At 38.8% G+C, this 20,477-nt stretch overlaps 1 long non-coding RNA gene across 1 annotated transcript in view; it reads right to left on the bottom strand.

Annotated features, from left to right (window-relative positions):
• Positions 1-3,245: 3,245 nt before the first annotated feature.
• Positions 3,246-20,477, bottom strand: part of LOC105373592 (uncharacterized) — a 530,486-nt gene continuing 513,254 nt past the window's right edge. The window contains exons 6-7 of the long non-coding RNA XR_001739684.2: positions 6,203-6,280; positions 3,246-3,434 (exon numbers count right to left, since the gene is read on the bottom strand). This is a non-coding gene — a long non-coding RNA (uncharacterized LOC105373592). The remainder of the gene's footprint in view (positions 3,435-6,202; positions 6,281-20,477) is intronic.

The raw sequence follows: 20,477 nt of genomic DNA, 5'->3' as shown, positions 1-20,477 counted from the left end.
CCGTTCTCAATGTAAAACATAACAATGCTTCCCTTAAAGTAATGAAACATTGTTTAGTAAGTGCTTATAGACTGGCTGTTCTTTTGTATAAATAAATTATAAATGGAATATGAGTCTCCAGAGGAAGTTATCATTCCTTCATAGAGGATATATTTGATCTTTGTGAGGCAGTCGGTTAGGGAATACTCTCCTTATTCCAATTATAGATTGAAGTGATTTAGGAGTGGGTCTCAATATTTGTGAAAGTTTGTCTATTTTTGTTGTTTTTGCTGTTTACTTTTACTCTTAGCAGTATGTACTCCTGGCAAGATCTCAACCTAAAGCCTGTAATGTTTACCTGTGCTTCTGCATGTTAGCAACTCCTGAACTCCAGTTCTTGACTTCTCAGACCTGTGATATGCTGCAGCTTCTGCATATACTCTTATGTTATTGGTTTTTGATGGCTGGGTGATGCCATTCAAGGCAAAGAGAACAATATGAGAAAAAGCAAGGAGGCAATAAAAGCATGGAATATTGTGTATGGTCAGCGTACCAGGGAAGTAGCAAAAGATAAGGAAATTAATTTAGGTAGATTAAATTTCCGAAGTGTCTTGAATGCCACAATAAAAATTGGGGATTTATTTTATTGGAGAAAAGCCAAAGCTCTTAGTGAAGTGGATTGCTCTGGCCACTGTTTATAACTCTTCCTATGGGCTAGTCCCCTAGTACTTTTGGCCAACTTCTTTTCCCTCCCTTATAAAGGACTCAGTTCAGTTTGGGGATGAGGGCCATAGTGCTGCCAGGAAAATTTCCTTTGGGATTTTGCCAAGATGGTAGGCAGATCCCCATGTCAGAAGGAGACTTTTTCCACATATATTCCCAAAGAGTTTGTGACTGATTCTTAAGGGAAAAAAATAAACCAAAACAAACAAACAAACAAACAAACTCAGTATTTCATTTCTAAAGATTAAGATGTGAAATCCGTGATCCCTTTCGTAATTCCACTCTTGCCTATGATAGATAGGTTTTCAAACACATCTACTTATAAAATGCAATCATTATTCAGTCATATGAAAATGAACAAAAGCTACACGTTCTGAAATGCAGCAATTGTTATCTCCATGACTTAATTATTTTGCATTTATTGTTTCTTCAAGGTTAGAGATTTTCTTTTTATCCTACAGACATTAGCAAGTTGTTTTTTATTATACTGATTTGATTAGAATCCTCAAAAAGTCATTTTAGCCTACTGGCAAATCTTTAAATGTAGACAGATACAAATGAATTTTAATTGTTTCTGAGAATATTTACTTGGGTAAAAGAGATAAGAGATATTTTTAAATTCTTCAAATACATATGTGAATCGAGATGTTTCATTCATTGACAACAAAATAATTTGTTCCTCATCACATTAGAAACATACATCCTATTCATACTCTCCTTTAAAATGGTTTTTTTAAGAATTGGGTGGATTTTTCTACATCTTGGATGCTATAGAAGGCATTGAGACTCAAAACTGACCAGCTATTTTGCTTGGGGCAAAGTTAGGAGAATTGTGCCCTTTTATACTTCAATCCTGTAGTTTCTGGTGACAAGGATTATGAATTCTACCAAGATTTCTCTACCCCCAGACCTCCATGAGATTAACACAAAAAGTTTCTCTAAATACTAATATTTTCCATCCCTACCTTTTTGACCATGACAGTCATTAAATTACTGCCTTGGAAGGATTAATCCAGGAGCCATGAACAGAGGGAGATGGGCAGGTCTATTGCAATGAAATGCAGTGAAATGGGAAAATCTGTTGTAAGCATTTTGACATAGGCCTTTCAGAGACTGAAGGTTATTGATTAGAGCAAATGGGATGAATCAAAGACTTTCTAAAACAGCAGGCAGAACTCAGTAGATTTTATCTCCCAAAAGTTGATACAGCATAATCAGACATAAACTGCAGAGGTCTCGGTATTAGGCACACAAAGCATGAGCCTGATGGCCCATCTCCTCATTTCCAGTAACTAATGCAAGGCTAGCAAAGGGTAGGATGCACAATAATTGTTTGATTAATTAATTTATCAAGAATTTAAAGTGAATAAAGTGAATGACCACATTGTCACAATTCTTTTAATTGGTAATTTCTAGTTTTAGATTTAAGTGAAAATACACAAAATCTTAAAACTCAGACCTTTAGAAAAACTATCAAAATGTTTTGCAATTTCTTTCAGAAATTAATGTAGACAGTATTGAGTGAAACGTTTTGTAGCGATCATTGCCAAAGCATGTCAGGACTTTTCTAGCTCCCCAAGACACTTGCTCAGAATACAGAAGTGCTCAGTTCAACAAACCCTCTCTGCCTTTTGATAATGCCAATACCAGCTTTGCTAAGCCCTGTTCCATGAAGAATGAATTCAGAATGCAATAGTTGCTTGAGTCTAAAAATTCTTTCAGCAACTTTATCAGTAGAACAAATTTCTTAGTTCAGAATTTCCCAACAAACATTTGATTATCTGAGGCAATGAGGAAAACAAATGTGTTCTGGGAATCTCTGTGATTTTTGAAATCCTTACTTAAAGAATCATAAAGTCTCTTTTCCCCTTGACCTACCTCCAGCGAGAATTTAATAGTCTATTGTGCAACGGAAATTATAGCACTGTACCCCTAACTCTCCCATCGTTTACGTTGATAAAGGTATTGGGCTGGACAGTGCTCCATAGAACACTCGGGGAAACTCTGATCTAAGGATGTCATGCACAATTATCTCTCAGAGTTTAACAAATGTTTATTGAATAAACACTTCGTATTCCTCAAAAGCTTGTGAGCTATGAGCTATGCAAAGACAGGTTAGAGTCGTTCAATTATGTAATAGCGGTTAATAAATGACTAAAGGACATATTTACTCACTGACTGTGCTGATGGAAGGCCAGGCCACTGTACCTTGGGGAGAGCATCTGCAAGCTGTGTAGGGAGCTGAAATGTTCAAGGCACCTGAGACAATTTTCTCTGCCCTAGTGAAACAGTAACTTCTGTAAGTCAGCCTTGCTTCCTTCTGTAAGCATTGAACTATGGTTTCATGATCACTTTTATGTTGTGTAAATTATTCACTGAGGCAGGTGGGAAATTCCACTTAAAGAAAAATTGCAAGAGAAAGATTTGTCTCCTGCTTCCCCCAGATTGCTGCCTGACTGCCAAACACACACACACACACACACACACACACACAGACACACACACACACACACACACACACGAGACTGTCCACTCTTACCTGCTCAAGGAAAGTGCCTGTCTCTGGAGAAATCATTGTACCACAAGGAATCCAAAGGTGGGACTGAGGATGGATGAAGGACTCGGCAATGCTCAGGACTAGAGATTCCTTCCCTCTCCCTGGCCCCTTCCATGGCTGTTCAAAAAGTCCTAAAGCAGGAAACCCATTAAAAACATCTACCTGCAAACACAGACTGTGGAAGAGAAGGACGAAGAGTAAACCTCACAAAGAAGAATCAAATTTCCACCCACTTTGTCCTTCCCTCCAATATCCTCACTATATATCCTTACAGACCCTGTTTTTTCTTTGTTCTACATGGGAAATCCTGCTTTCTAAAGGAGAATGTTTGAGAAAGTGACCACTAGATGAGAACATGATGAAGAGCTGAGAGACTGAAGGTGTTGAAGACAAGCTTATCTACTTAATTTGCCAAGATCCTAGAAGGCTAATATCATTTTTCCTTGTTGAAATGCTGGAAATTCTTAGTGAGTCTCCTAGTTGCCTCCTTATATTTTGCTTCAGGTAAAAAAAAAAAAAAAAGGAATATTCTTTAATGAAACAATTCTTGAAATGTTTATACTTTTCCAAAACAATATAATGTACACAAAAGTAAATATGGGGACAAAATTTTAATGATAGAGCCATAGAACTGCATTGTTGACACTAACCTTTCAGTGTCACTCTGAGACGGAGTCACTCGAAGACTCAGGATAGGAAAGGTCAGGGCAACCTCTAATAACATGCTTCATTTAGAGCAGCTAAGAGGATATGCTCCATACGCACTTGATAGTATTTCTCCCCAAGACTCTCCCCTCAAACCAGAGGCTTAGGTCCACCCAGGACACCCTGTGTCAGCACACTGTAGGATATGATGCCCTACTCCTCCTCCTTAACTCGCATAATCGTAGTAACTAATGACCACGTTTATTGTGTGAGGGTCTCAGTGCTTTTCATGTACAATCTTGTTTAGTATCCATAGTCACAAACACTCCAAGAAATAGATATTATTATGCTACATCCATAAGTAAGAAGATTAAGGATTTACAGATCCTCATTGACAATAGTGTTAAAGGATGTAACTGCAACTGCAATGTTCTTTCTCTTTCCCACAGCTAGGTTATAAAGCAACTATGTCTGCTCTTTTTCATTCACTTCTACTCAATTTTTTTCTTCCTAACCTCGAATTGACTCTTTTTCTAATGATAACAGAATCTTAGAATTACACATATGAAGACTATAAAATATTTAAACTGACATGCCCTTAAGTAACCATTATTTAAGCAGAAATTTCTTGTGAGAAATTGGAGGCCCGGAAATATTATGCTTCTTATCCAGAATCACCACCAGTCCTCACATCTTCAGACTGTCATCTGCAGGTCTTTTTTCTACAGGACTTGGCCATAATTCCTTTTCACTGGGTAACCTCTAAAACATTTATTTTAAATACTATCCCCTTGCTATTCGCATCCTCCAATGATGGCAAGAAGAAGTAATGCCTTAGAGTTACAAGAGTAAATAAACACAGACAGCCCTGTTCTCCTTGCCTATGCCTTGCCTTCAGGAACATGACATAATTCAGTCTGCATGCAGACCTGAATGGAATCAGTATTTCATTCCATTACCTTCAATGGGATTCTCATTGCCCTTCCTAGAATAATTTAATTTCTCTCACTTCTCAAATTAAATGATACCTGAAAGTTTCAGCTGATGAACAGCTCCTGTTTTACTGTAGGAGGCCTTCCTTCAGGTACATGGGGCATTCATCTTTTACTATTAGTGAAGGCCATTAGCTGCAATATAATGCCCTCTCTCTCTGACATCCACTACAGTAGTAATACTCTCAGCCCCAAATGAAACTCATTTCCATGGCTCTGAATAAATAAAAGCAGATTACCTGTAATTTTTTTGACCATGCATTTAAAGAAAGCACATTGATGAAAGGGAGGAAAGCATTTATTAGGGATTCATATAATTGCCTAATGTATAGAATTTTTTTATTATTATTGCTTACATTTGTAGTGCAATATTATATTAAGAGTGGCATTGAGGTAATTCAAATATTACACATGAAAAAATTAGAAAAGTATACCTTGTTAGAAATTTAGATTAAAATAACATCAATGTTCATGATAATATTGGCTAATATTTATTGAATGCTAGGCATTATTCTAAGTATGTTGTCAGCATTACCGAAGCTAATTTTAATGAGATGAGTAACTGGTACAGCATCACATGACTATTAAAGGGAGGAGCTGGATTTAAGCCTGGAGAGCACTGTGCTTGTGCTCTGAACCTCCACACCATATTCCCTGTGAAACCCAACTCAAGAGAACCCTGAGCTACACATTCTAACACAGTTCCCCAGCTAGGAAGATAAGCAAGGCCCAGCTGTGCTTGGAAAATTAATAGAGACAATTTTTAAAAGTGCATGATGCATTCATGGTTTCCCTCAGACAATGGAAACACACACACCCACAAATACATTGAAACCACAGGAAACTGTAAGCAGCAATCTCCTCTTATTTCAGATTATCAATCAGTGAATGAGTCAAAAAAATTTATTGAATATCTATATACTATACATCACTGGGCATCTCAAGGGATCATGCTTTTGCCTTATAACTTGAATTCGTAAGTGTATCATATCACCTGTGGAATACGGGGTCAAGATACAAGTGTGCAAAATGTTACCGTTGCTATGGTGAGTGCACATAGTAGGTTATTGATGTTGGAGGTTGCAGGTGCTAGTCACTCATCTGAAGCTGCTTATGAATTGAAAACAGTCAAAAGAGGCCAATAGCCTCTATTTCAGTATAAGTTGTATTAAAGGGTTGACAGAGGATCTGTAATAACCAATGTATCTGATAGAGTTGAATTGGAAAATGAGGTTTGGAACTGAAGCCAAAGTGAGGTTTTCAGCTACCTTGCCCCCAAGTCTAATCTCCTTTGGGTACTACTTACAGAAAAAGTTCTGTCCACAAAATTCAGTAAGTGCCCTCATTCATGGAGGGTCTCAGTCACCTTCCACACACCAGGAACCTGTGAAATGAAGAGCCAGGGGAAGCAGTTAGGTCACTGGTGTTCTCTAGGAGACAGGACCTGCCACTTGACTCCTGTGTGCTGTTTTGCACAGTGAGCTGGACTTTCTGGCCAAGCTGTGACACAGGCAGCAAAAGACAGGAGCTGGAGTATGTTTCCTAATTTGAGGTACTTTCTTCTGTGGAATATGGGCCGTCAGATCACTCTCCCTCCACTTTCTTGTGTCTGAAAAGGACATCACTACTTATCTCATAGGTGGGAAGAGAGACTGGAAAAAGACCTCCAATCTAGAGAAGCAAGGTTTGGAAGGGAAGGAAGCAGCTCAGCCTGTATGGGCAATGCAAGGATGTAGGGCTGCAATAGGATGAGGAAAAGCGCAGCAGACGTGGGCTAACTTTCAAGACGGGGTGGAAACAAGGTGAGTTCAAAGGAGAATGGATGGTTTGAGTGGAATCTTGGAAGATATGGTAAGATAAGAAGACAATAATTGGCCAGGCAGAAGAGGCAGAAAAGGTCATTCTAGACACAGAGTGGGATGAGAAGAGGCTCATGGGTCCAGGGACAGAAGCACCTGCAAAGGTACCCACACCCTGCCCTATAAGACGGCAGTGGCCCTCTGAGCCCAGAAACCTCAAGATGTCCTGGGGAAATCTCCTAGGGCCACAGGGTTGTGAAGGTCTGAAACCTAGCAAGTAAAATGCCATCAGCACCCCTGCCTGAATTCAGCCAGGGTGGCTCCTTTTTGTTGGAATTAAAAATAAATTTTTATCTGAACCAAGTGTTCTGAAAGTTAAAAAATAAAATTTAAAAAAAGGCAACAAGACACCACACTCATAAGCTGAGGAGCCAGAGGTCTGTAAATAGCTACCGATGTAATAGGCATGCTCTGTGGTCGTAAATAGAGCATCTGCTCCTTGCAGGCAGGGGCTGTGTTCACATTTTTTGGACATGGCCTTGGCACTGTTTCCTACAGATAGTGCTTGCTAAGCGGTTCCTCTCCAGCACCACAATCCCCTTCCTGGCATCACTCTGGGACAATTCTCTCTCTTCTCTACCCCTTTCAGACCTTCCTCCTTTTTACTACTTACATAGACTCCTGTTTCCCCACATTTTGTTAATTACATTTTCTTTACTTGTCTCAGTTGATTCACTCTTACAGAAATACGCAAGCATGATGACACCTCTGTGCCAGTCCCGCTGATGCCCCACCCAGGTCTCTAAACAAATGTTTGTGCAGCTCAAAACAACATAAATATCCAGGAGCAACAGTGAGACTACAGGCAGGCGGGTCTCATCCTCCAGAAACCAAGAGGAAGAAAAAACCAGCTGGGAATGGAGCTAGAAAGCATATGAAATAAAACCATAATACTGTTGCAAGTAAGATAAAGGTCAATGAATTTCAAAATGTCAAATGACAAAAGGATAATCTCCCTTCCAGTTTTCAGTTAGTGTAGTTTAGTCGCTGCCAAGTCTTAAACCTTTCTGACTTCGTGTGCATTTTTAGTCTCGTAGTAGCAGTTTATGAGCAATTTATTCAAGTGTATATTAATATCCTCATAAATGTCAATCAGCACCTTAAGTGATGTGAAAATTTTTGGTAGATAGATTATATCTTGGGTATAATAATTGTGCATTGATTCACATATATAGACATTTGAAGCCCTACTGGGGGGCAGTGTGGAAGGTGGAGTTGCTGGGGGTTGAGGGTGGCCGGTGGCTACTAAATTTTTCAACGTTTCATGCTCACTGATTCTTTAGGGATAATAAAAATGTCCAAATCACAAATGATGGTGGTTCTCTGGATATTTAGCAAACTTTTATTGAGTTTCCATATATGGCAGGCATTGGGATAGCTATATCTATAGATATCTATAGATAGAGAGCTAGATATAGATACATAGAGAGTGAGAAAGACAGAAAGCTGACTCTTTAGAGCCTCTTTAGGAAAAACACACTGCAAAAGCTAAAGACATTGTGGGAACTCAATAAAATTTGTATTAATGTCATATTGTTGTAACTGCTAATAATAAAACAAATGGCAGTGTTCATGTGCCAGGCACTTGGCACGCATGGTTTTCATTTGGGGGTAGTTATCACTATCCTTATTTTAAAGATTAAGAAATCGTGGTGCAGACAAGTTAGAGGACATTTCTGAAGCCACACAGCAATTGAAAGGTGAAGCCAAAATTGTAACCCAATACCGTCTGACTCTAGAACTCAAGTTCTTCCCACTACATATTGATGCCTGCTGAATATCAATGAATGCTCAATCATTACATTTTCAAGATGAACCAAACCCATACAGCAGTCTAATAAGCATGCAAACCAGTAAGACCACATACATATTCTTTCAAGCTTTTCCTAATTTTCACTTAAATGTCCAAGCAAAGAATCATTCTCAAGTTCCCTAAGGAATACAATCCATGCAATATACTTGATTGGTTTATTAAGTATCTCCTCTTCCCTTGTTGTCTCTCTCTTTTTCTTTCTCTCTCTCTTTTATACAGTTCCTAGCATAGTACCAGATGCACCAGAAGTTCCAAAGAGCTGAAGATTCTTAAAGCATTTAAACCATTGAATGTAATCACTCCTTCTCTCTTTGAGCCTTGTGCAAGTTTATATCTGGACTCAGCAGGGTATAGAGTTATGGAAAGAGAAATGCACAGCCCCTCCCCAGGCAAATGACATGCAAATAGCCTGCTTCAGCATGTCAGTTCCATGGTAGTGGTGCCAGCAATGTCTAGGGGAGAACAGGAAACAGAGAGATTGGTATCTATAGGAGAGCTGGAGAAATTTCAGAAAAAGTAGACATTAAACAACCCTAAAAGGAAAGTAGGAAGAAGAATCACGTTAATCGTTAAGTTGAAAGAACACTACCCACAGACACTAAGTGCAAAAGTGTGTGATGCGTTTGGAGCAAGTGGGCTGTTCCATTTCACTAGAATAAAAGGAATATGAAGAGTATTGTGCATGTCTTCTCTGCTCCTGCTGTTATAGCAAAATACCATAGAATGGGTGATTTATAAAAAATAGGCATTTACAGCAAGGTGAGGTAGCTCACACCTGTAATCTTAGCATTCTGGGAGGCCAAGGTGGAAGGATCATTTGAAGCCAGGAGTTTGAGACCAGCCTGGACAACAAAGCAAGACATTGTCTCTACAACAACAACAACAACAAAAATTTTTAAATAGCCAGCATGGTAGCACAAACCTGTAGTCCCAGCTATTTAGGAGGCTGAAGCAGCAGGATCATTTGATTCCAGGAGTTCAAAATGCAATTAGCTTTGATTGCACCACTGCACTCCAGCCTGGGCAACAGAGTGAGACCCAGTCTCAAAACAAAGCAAAACAATCAGAAATGTATTGCTCACAATTCTGGAGGCTGTGAAATCTAAGATGTCCAAGATCAAGGCACCAGCAAATTTGGTCTCTAGTGAAAGTTTATTCTCTGCCTCTAAGATGGCTCCTCTTGCTGTGTCCTCACAGGCAAGAAGGTGTAAAAAAGGTCCTCAGGCCCCATGTCCTCAAGCCCTTTTATAATAGCATCTAATCCTATGCATGAGGGTACAGTTCTCAGGGCCTAACTACCTCACAAAGCCCCCACATCAATACCAACACCTTGGGAATTACATTCCAACATAGGAATTTTGGGAGTCACCAAAATTCAGACCCATAACAGTGGCAATTGGGGTTGGAGAGCTCTGTGAAATCAGATAATGAAGGAAATGAATTTCATGCTACAGAATTTAAATTTATATTATGTAAGAAACGTAGCCAGGGAAGGTGGTTTACACCTGTAATCCTAGTCCTTTGGGAGGCCAAGGCTGGCAAATCACTTGAGGTCAGGAGTTTGATACCAGCCTGGCCAACATGGTGAAGCCCTGTCTCTACTAAAAATGCAAAAATTAGCTGGGCATGGTGATGGGTGCCTGTAGTCCCAACTACTTGGGAGGCTGAGGCAGGAGAATCATTTGAACCAGGGAGGTAGAGTTTGCAGTGAGCCAAGATCACATTAATACACTGCAGCCTGTAAGACAGAGAGAGACCCCAACTCAGGAAAAAAAAAAAAAACAGAAATGGAATGAAGGGAAGTGGTATGGTTTGGCTGTGTCTCCACCCAAATCTCATCCAAATCTCATCTTGAATTGTAACTCCCACAATTCCCACATGTCATGGGAGGAACCCAGTGGGAGGTAATTGAATTATGGGGGTGGGTCTTTCCTATGCTGTTCTCATGATAGTGAATGAGTCTCATGAGATCTGATGGTTTTTAAAACAGGAGTTTCCCTGCACAGACTCTCTCTTTGCCAGCCAACATCCATGTAAGACATGACGTGCTGCTCCTTTCCTTTCACCTTCCGCCATGATTGTGAAGCCTTGCCAGTCATGTGGAACCATAAGTCCAATAAACCTCTTTCTTTTGTTAATTGCCTAGTCTCAGGTATGTCTTTATCAGCAAAGTGAAACAGACTAATACAGGAAGGGTTTTGATGAGGAATGCAACCAGGTTAGACCTTCGTTTTAGGAAAATAATTAGTGAAAGAATAAATAGGGGAGGTAGCATGTGATTAGACAGTTTTATTTGGAAGGGGAGTTAGGTGCTTTAGAATTCTGTTCCCTCTCTCTATTTGCAAAGATTGTATATAGTAACATGCTTCCCTAAGACGGTGGAAGATGAAGTGGTTGGTCTATGTCATGTTCTTCTCCAGCACTGGAAAATCTCACTTTATCCCTTTCCCCTTCACTCACTGAGCATGATGAAGTGTTTTCTGGGAAGACAGTCAATGGGCTTCAATGAACAGAGGCCTTGGTTGTTCCCTAAAATGTTGAATGAGTGCCTCTGAGAGACAAGATGAAAGCCTTCAGAATGATTTGAGTATCTTCAACTATGGCCTCCTAAACAATAAAAAGATTCTCAGAAACTGAAGACAAACAAAGCAACTTCTAACACAGAACTCACATTATATCATCCCATGCGATTACAGCATATTTATATAGTGCTTTCACATGTATAGTATACTTATGCACTTTATAATATTATTAAAATTTGAATTTATGGTATTATGAATTACATATACTGTTATATATAATTCCATGTAAGCTCACATAGCCTCATGTATAAATGTTTGCAAATGTGAATGAATAGATTTAATATATTAAAACAATTTCAGAGAAAAATCTTCAGATAATAATATTTTAAATAATCAAGATTTAGGAAATTCAGCCCTTTCTTTCCCTGGAAAGGCAGTTTAGCAATTCAGCTACTCATATAAATCTTCTGACAATTTGAATGTGGAAAACTCTATGGCAAATTTAGAATTATAATGAGCTTCAACCTCAGCTTCAGAGGAGAAGGAAAATTTTCTCACTTAGACTGAACTTCCCTCAGGAAAAAAACAGAAAGAAAACACAATAATGTTTCAACTTAGATTAATGAGATTAATAACAACAGAAACATCATCAAAACAATTATAATATAGCCAATTAGCCAATTTGGGACAGAGGAGTGTAAAACGTGCAGTTTTTATGGGTCACTGGCCCTATAGGATATAGAATAGGTATGAAGTATGAACAGTGACAGAAATACCAACATTGGGCACCTACTGTGGATCAGAACAGAATTAAACAGAATTAAATTATTTCGTATATTATCCTATTTAATGCTCACAGAAGCTCTATGAGACAGCATGGAGTGTATCTGCAAAGTTTCCTGGGAGCTGTCTCTGAATTGTCCGGCAATGTGCTAGATGAAAAGGGAAGTGCTGCCCTCACCCGAAGACAGGTTGTATTTTCCTCCAAGTGCTCCCTAGGTCTCCAAGTACTGAGCAGGTAGCATTTCTTATCACGGCCCTAAACAGCTGGCATCTAATCTGCTATTACATTATAGTTACATACAACACCAGGTGAAGTCACAGGGCATCATGAATCACTGCCAGCTTTGTGTCTCCACTGTTAAGGTCATTCTCATGCTCACCCAGTTAAAGAGAGAGCAACAGAGGGCAGGGTCCCTTCCCTGGAATAAGTCATAGTGGCTCCAGCAAGCCTCAACTGCATGCATCTCTGCAGAAAGCCAATAGATCTGGGTAAGCAAGTGCCATTTCTTGTTGACCCTTTACTTGTAAGTTTCCCCGGAAATTTGTTCTTTGTACCCATACTATGTGTTACTATGAACTTAGAGAAATTTAAGTAACATATTAGAAATCAGTAGGAGGCATATGAGCTAGGATACAAACCTTGGTCTATCTAATAAGAAAGTGATTCTTGTTAGGAAGATTAACTTGTCGAAAGTCACAGTCTTACAAAGTTGTGAGGCTAGAACTTCAACCAGGTTTGCCAATTCACAAGCCACTATTTGTTATCACAGCCCACTCTTCCTTAAAGGGTGAACTTAAGACCATCTATACAGTAATTACCAGGGGCGCTTATTACTATCACAATTTTATGAGTCCTACTTCAGATTTATGGAATCATAGTCTCTGATAGTGACGACCTCAAATCTGCAGTACCTAATAGGGACGTCAGGTGATCCTGATGAAGTTGAAAGTTTACAATGCATTGCTTTATGGAAATTGTCCTGAAATTGCCACAAGAACCTATGTGCACATAAGGTACCCGGGGCAGTGTAAGGCAAGGGCCAAACCACACATCTTCTCTATGCATTGAAGAAGTCAGTCTCTCAGAAATGAGACATTCATGAAGCCCTACCTCTTGGAATAAGTAGTAGAAAACAAGAAAAGAGGAAGGTTTTGTGATATCATAGGGGCTTTGAGGATCCTATCAAAAGATCCACCTGAATCTCCTATATAAGTGACTTCTGATACATGAACTCAGAGAACATGATTGCCTGGTCAAGAGAGGTCCAAGGAAGCATGCACACTCTCTTACAAAGTTGACAAAAATACCTATACTTGCTTCAACCGTGGTCTATTCCTAGCAACACCAAGGCGGGTAAGGAGGAGTACAAGTCCAGGCTTTAAGGGCAAGAGCTATAGTTTTCTTCCTTCCCTGGAAAGTAAACAAAATGTAACTTGCTTCTAACGTTCAGGGAGAACCAGTGATGAACTCACAAAAATGTGGACCAGATGTGTGCCAAAGTAAGACAGGGTGGAGCCGCCACAGTCACTACGTGGGTAGAAGTTTTATGCAATCCGAGAACCATGCTCTGCATTCACCTCATCTTTTATTCACTTCTTCCTTCCTCTCTTGTCTCACCAGAGAAAACTTGGGCTCCAATTCAAAAGGAAGCTTGGGCAGAAGCTTATGATTGAAAAATATTTTACCTAATTCATCAGTGTTAAGTGTGTCAAAAAAGCAAACCTTCCAAGCACTGCTATAAATCACTCTGCTTAAAACAATAGGAAATATGTTGCTCGAATGCAGCAGCAATTGCTATGAATTCCAAACAGTCAAGCAAAAGACAAAAATGCAAGCCTTGGAGGGAGATATAATTTCATGGTACTTTTTGAAGACCTATAAATTTTCAAAAAAGTGGGACATATCTAACATGGTGGAAATCAAATAAAAGATGATTAAAACTAGAAAGGATACAAATAAAAATGAGTTTTATTCATTCTTTACAGTGCTTGGTACATAGAAGATGTTCAAAAGTTTTTGTGATGAATTTATGAATAAATTCCAAGATTCTCACAGTTATTACTGTGGTTTCTCAAAACTGTTAGCCTTCACCCTCAACATTATAAGAAATTACAGAATCATTGAAGGCCTATAGAATTGTCCATTTTATCATTGGACTGGCCAAAGGCCCTCACTTATACTAGCTATAACCATTCAAGCTTTGGTGATCAGGCAATTTACTTCCATTTTACTTAGTTGAGTTTTGTGTTGATTTCATTTTTGTGTTTGTGAATACATGCTTAGAAAGAAGATAATGATACTTCCTCCCTGATGAATCACCAATTCAGACTGGCAAAGAGAATGGGAGTGGCTGTGTCTATGCCTGTGATTGGGGTAATAAAATTTCAGTAAACACATTAGTGTGTCTTTCCCTAAGATGGCTATCAATACCCAAGCAATATTTAGGCCAAGTACAAAGTGAGCTCTAAATAGGAAGCTTGTAGAAGCTTAAATGAGGGTTCAGCAGCAATAACAAATTTCATCTTCTGCTATAATTATATTATCAAAGTGAAAGAGGGTTTAATAAAAAATTGTCATAAAAATGAATTGTTAGAACTGTGTATTTATGAAAAAGATACATACACATATATCCATTACATATATACACATATATATAAAGATTTCTTTGTTTATTTGACAGTAAAAAAAGCATTGAATTTCTGTTTTGCAACCTTTAAAGTCTTTCAATAGCAAAGGGTCATTTCCTTAATACCATCTTTCCCAGTTTATCAGAAGGTCTCATAAGTGTTTCCTTGACCAGGTCATTTTATGCCTCTATTTTTATTTCATCTTGCAGTTTATTAACTCCTCAAAGGCAAGATTTCTTGACTACGTTCTTTGCGGCCCCTTTTTTTTCATTTAATCCCTTTTTCAAAATGGTCATTGGTATTTGTATACCAGAAAGCAATGGATATTTGTTCATGTCTACATGCATATACACACAGTTTCTAAACAATGCTAATATCATCACCTCTGGTGATAAAATTAAGAAACAAATTAATAACTAGGCCCCTTTTTTCAGATAATTTGTTTACATCTGTGAGATGAAAATTCTGTCTCAATTTTCTATATAATTTTGGTCCAGAAATTCTATCCTCTTTCATCCTTGCTTACTAACATGCAGAGTGTTTTTCTTTCTATTGTTTTTAACAATAAGTACTGAAGCCCTCCTAACTGTCCCCTCAAAACTGTGAACTGTTAGTTGGTTAATATTTCAAAACTTTTACATGAAATGCATATATTTATATACCCATATATAAAACATTCACATTTATATGTATGTATATATACATAGATGTATACACACACACATATACATATGTATACAGAAATAGAGAGAGAGACAGAAAGAGAGAATGTCTTAAAATCCATTTTCCACACAGCAGTGAGAATGTTCACCTAAATAAGAAAACCAGCCCTAGCACTGCTGCAAAGTGGTCTCCTGCTGGATCCAGATATTTTACCATGTCTCTCACGGTTGCCATTGTCCCTCCTGATCAGTATTATGTGGCCATCAGGAGTTCCTTTCTGGTCCTCATGAATAAAAAAAGCAACCTTATCTATTCCAGGTCCCTCACTTGAATGCTTTTCCCCCATATTGCTACTTGGCTGGCTTATTCTCAAACTTGAGATAGCAATATAAATGCCATTTCCTCAGAACTCCTCTCTGAAACTATAGTTCTCTCTTCCGCCCCATCTAAAGTGGCCTCCCCAAGTTTCTATCACATTACCTTAAATATTTCCTTAACATCACTATAATTACCTTATGTACTGTTTTTATTGTTTGCTCTCTTATTTCCCAACAACATGTAGAGATATTGTTAGTATTGCCTGTAATATATCACCACCAATCCTGACATACAGTAGATGCTCAATAAATATTTGATGAGTGAATAAATCGATGAAAAACTGAGTTCATAATTCACATATCATTGAATAACTTGCTTTTTTCCCATGAACAATGAATTATGAAAACAGTCCTATGTCAGCACATACAGAGCTTTTCTTTCTGGTTGCTGAATTGTAGTCCAAAATGTGGATACATATCAGTAAATTAAGTACATTTCTACTGATGGATGTTCAGGGTTTTTTTAATCTCTTGTTATCAGGCACAGCCCTGAACTATACAGATTCGCATTTGTATTTGGATATGTTTGCATAACTTGTTCTGCAGGATAGATTTCTACATGTGAAACTGCAATAAAAAAGGTTTTTAAATATACATAGATAAATTCAAATGGCCCTTAACGAATGCTGTCAAAAACTGCAAAGGGTCTGAGACTTTCACCTAGTTGATAAGTCAGCCTGACACAATTTCATGGATGCTGGCAGAAGAAGACCTGAGACTCCTGGTTAGAGGCAAAGGACTTTGCTGCTCATGTCACTGGAGGCAGTCTGATTTTTATGTTTGCTATGGTCTAAATCACCCCCAAAGGCTCCACCTCCCAATACCATCACACTGGGAATTAGGGCTTCAACATATTAATTTGGGGTAGGAAACAAAACACACATAACACTTATATATAACAGACTTGGGATATGATTATGGCATATGATTTGGCTTGAAAACGATTGATCATGTCTCAAATTGCTTTCTATAAGCTGTCGCAGCTGATCCCTTCAGGCCTTTTGATGTGTTGTGGACACTGTGGTTAGCAGACTGAGTAGCAGGGGAGGTGTAGGAAGACTTCAAGTAGCAACAATTATCTGTGAAAACCAAGTCTGGAACTCTGGGATAATTCTCTTGCATTGCACCTTTGACCTTCTCCATGTGGTCTAGGGAACATCACACACAGTTCCATTATGAGTACATCAGAATGCAGGACAGCTGACCTGAACTCATTTCCACAGGACCTCTGGGTAACCCATGTGTTACTTTGGATAACTTCCTTAACCTCTCTTGGTGCCTTTTTTTCTCTTCTATCGAAAAAAAAAGTGGTTTGAATAACCTTACAGATACCTTCAAATAAAGATCAGTGATGCAATAAATATGATCTATATTTTTACAGCTGAATTTTTTTCAGAAGCAGGATTACCCATCAGGTCAATAGAAAGAGCCATCAGGGCAATAGAAAGAGGAAAAATATATTTTAAATTATCAATTAATCCAAGATAGTCTTTCTTCAGCTTACAGTTGCTTTAGATACCACCTTCAAAAGGATTTGATTTTCACTAGTCTTATATCCTCAGCTATCACCCAGCCAAATATGATCCTGTAAGAAAGAAAGGAGTAGAGAAATCCACCCAAAGCATCCCACAGAGATGGAGTAAGGAAGAAGTGGGCTCAAATACTTCTTCAGCCACCATAAACCAAGTTTTTAATCTCTCTATAATACTTTTTCCTCATCTACATTATGGGGTTCATAGACTCTAATGAGGGCATCAGCATCAGTGAAATAATCATGCTAAAAATTGTAGAATTATAGCTGTAACGAATGCTAGAAACCCTTTTAACATTGAGCATTGAGTCCTGACTTAGATTGGGAAGGTCAAGAAAGCCAAAAAGCAATTCCTGAAGGTGCTCAGATAGGAAGGTTGAAGAAGGCAGCGTGCCAGGCTGCAGAAACATATGTTCAAGGGCCCAGCATGGATTGCTCAAGGGAACAAAAGAAAGTGCAGTGAGCCTGAGGAAACAAGGAAGATGATAAGGCTAGAGAGTTGAGTGTGGTTCAAATCAGGAGGAAACAAGGAAGGGGATAAGGCTAGAGAGTTGGGTGTGATTCAAATCAGGAGCCCATACAAGTATCATGCAAACCAAGACACAACTGAGCATAAATGGGGACAATTTTAATAATTATGCCAAGATAACAGGTATGAATCAGCACTGTCCATGGAAAATGAGAGAATTGAAGAGAGGGAAGCCTATTAGGAAATTATTGCAGAAACTAGATGAGATATAACATATTATGAGATAGATGTATTACAACTAAGAAATCTTGGGTATAGAAGGTGTAGTGCGTCTTGGAGAATGCAACAAGGTTGTGATGGTGAAGAAGTAGTAGATAAAAGTAGACTTCTCTTTCCTCTCTGGAGGGAGGGCTGCCTTGCCTTCTAGCAAGGAATACAGGAATCATGCCTATGGTCCAGCCTAACTAGCACATGAGCACTTTCGTTAAAGAAGTATAACAGATTCTAAGCATCAACATTGGCACACCAGTGAACACCAGATCAATGTTCCTGCATGTGTCAATTGTACTTCATGAAATATTTGTCCAAGAAATGTAATTAACAGGACCCCCTGCAGGTTTCAGATGTTCATAATATCCCTCTAATTTTCAAGAAATCACAGCTTCCTTTGGCGTAGGAATCAACAGTCATTCACAACCAGAGTTTATGCTAATTTCAGAGGCAAAGACAGCTTCAAGGTTAATGTATCCAATCTGTTTTGCTCATCTGTTTCCATCTAAATCTTTACTATGACTTAAGAGTTTAAAAGGGAAAGAGCAGAAGGCAGCAAGAAAAAGAAGGAGGAAAGAAGGAAGGGAAAGACAGAGGAAGGGAAGGAGGAACTATTATGTTAGGAGGGAACTAGGATTCATCCATGTATATTTATTTGTTTGCCCTCATGTTTCTATAAGAAAAGGTAGGAACCAAACCAAAGTGAACTCAAAGTGAACCCATTGTGATTCGCTTCTAGGAGGAAATCCGAAATCTCCCATGGGATTGAGTAGCATAAAGCTGTACTGGCATGTTTTCTGGAGTCAGAACCCAAGTGGTGAAAGGGAAATTTTAAATAGGCTTGAGAAAAATAAGTGATCATGTTAGTAAGACTGGGCACTTTTAGTCAGTGGAAATAAGAACTAGAAATGTACTTATTTTAGAACAATTTTTATGATGAAATATTGACCTTCTGTTATCAAGGTCACAGTTTCTCTCCTTGGTCTCTCTCTCTTTCTGTCTCTCTCAGATAGAGTTAGCCCACAACCCAAGATGAGATAGGAAATGTCTGCTCTGACCCATTCCATCTGCTGTCTTGGGGCTGCTTGACTGCTCTTGGCAGGACCTACTCATGTCTGAGGCTTTTGGCGAAAACCTGGGTCCCACCATGGTCCCTTCCCTGAGATATTAGAGTGAACATTTCTTTAACAGCCTAATACCAGTGACCCACAAAGGAACATCTTAAGAAAATGTTTCTCAGGATTTACATTTTTTAATGAGGATAAAAAGCGAAACGAAGGAATCAAATCTCAAATGTGGAATATCAGACACTGTGGAATGGAGTGGAAAATTATACTTCTACATGCATATTTATATACATATAATATATAAGGAATAGAGAGCAAAGGTACAGATGCCATCAGCTAATGTGATACGGGAAATACAAGTTCATTATCTACTGCTCTGGGACTCCCCATACTGCAGCCAGGTAAACTGTAGTGGGAAAAACAGAAATACTACTTTTCACTCTAAGGGAGTGAAGCAACATCTATTACATGAGCAGATAATCAGGTACTTTTTTCTTTTTATAAAAGAAAAGAACAGAGTTCCAAAGAAGAAAGTGAGAGTGGGGCTGGGAGCTTACTCGACTCTGAGTGGTGAGGAATGGCATCCTGAGGACACAGTAAAGTGAAACCTAGGGTGGGGAGCTGCCATGCCAAATTTGAGGAAGTCCATTCCACTGTTCATATTTTGTTCATATCTCCTTGCAATCATTTATTGTGTACACGTATTACAGTTTAGAGCTCTTTTTTTTTTTTAGACCGAGTCTCGCACTGTCACCCAGGCTATAGTGCAGTGGCACCCTTTTGGCTCATGGCAACCTCCACCTCTGCCTCCCAGGTTCGAGCGATTCTCCTGCCTCAGTATCCCAAGTAGCTGGGATTTCAGGCACCCACCACCATGCCCAGCTAATTTTTTGTATTTTTAGTAGAGATAGCATTTCACTATGTTGGCCAGGCTGGTCTCAAACACCTAACCTTGTGATCCACCCACCTCGGCCTCCCACAGTACTGGGATTACAGGCATGAGCCACTGCGCCTGGCCTAGAGCATCTTTTATACGCTGTTTTCTTCCTTCCACTCAGTGCTATATTAACAGCAATTTATCAAATTGTAACTTTCATAAATATTTCTAGTGGTTATTTAGTATTTTCTTAAATAACTCTCCTTAATTTACCAAACTATTTAGGGCATTTTCCATTATTGTGAATAATACCTTGGTGAGTATCTTATCATATAAACAATTATATTTCAAATTTCGAATTATTCCCTAGGATACAAACCTAGGGTTGGGATTATTGGATAGGGTATGAACACTAAATGTTTGGTACATGTTGCCATTTACTGTATATGAGTCATTATCTCATAATATACTGACTAAAGTTGTCACAATTTCTAATTTTTTTTATTAAAAGAGGGAACATGAAAGCTTGCATTTTGATTTGCTTGGTTTGATGTCTTTCAATTGACTGACATACCTTAGCCGCAGATGTTTCCCGAGGTGCTACCCGAAAGAGTCGCTGGACAGCGGTTACGCATCAAGACCCATGCTCACCTGTGGGACAGATTCTTGCAATTCCAGCCCTCCCAAACCCATTGCACTGGCTCCCAGGGCCAGGCAAAAGC

Source organism: Homo sapiens, chromosome 2 (genome assembly GCF_000001405.40).
Source record: "Homo sapiens chromosome 2, GRCh38.p14 Primary Assembly".
NCBI classification, from domain to species: domain Eukaryota; kingdom Metazoa; phylum Chordata; class Mammalia; order Primates; family Hominidae; genus Homo; species Homo sapiens.
The sequence above is the reverse complement of the archived record's forward strand: the minus strand, read 5'-3'. Positions and strand labels throughout refer to the sequence as shown.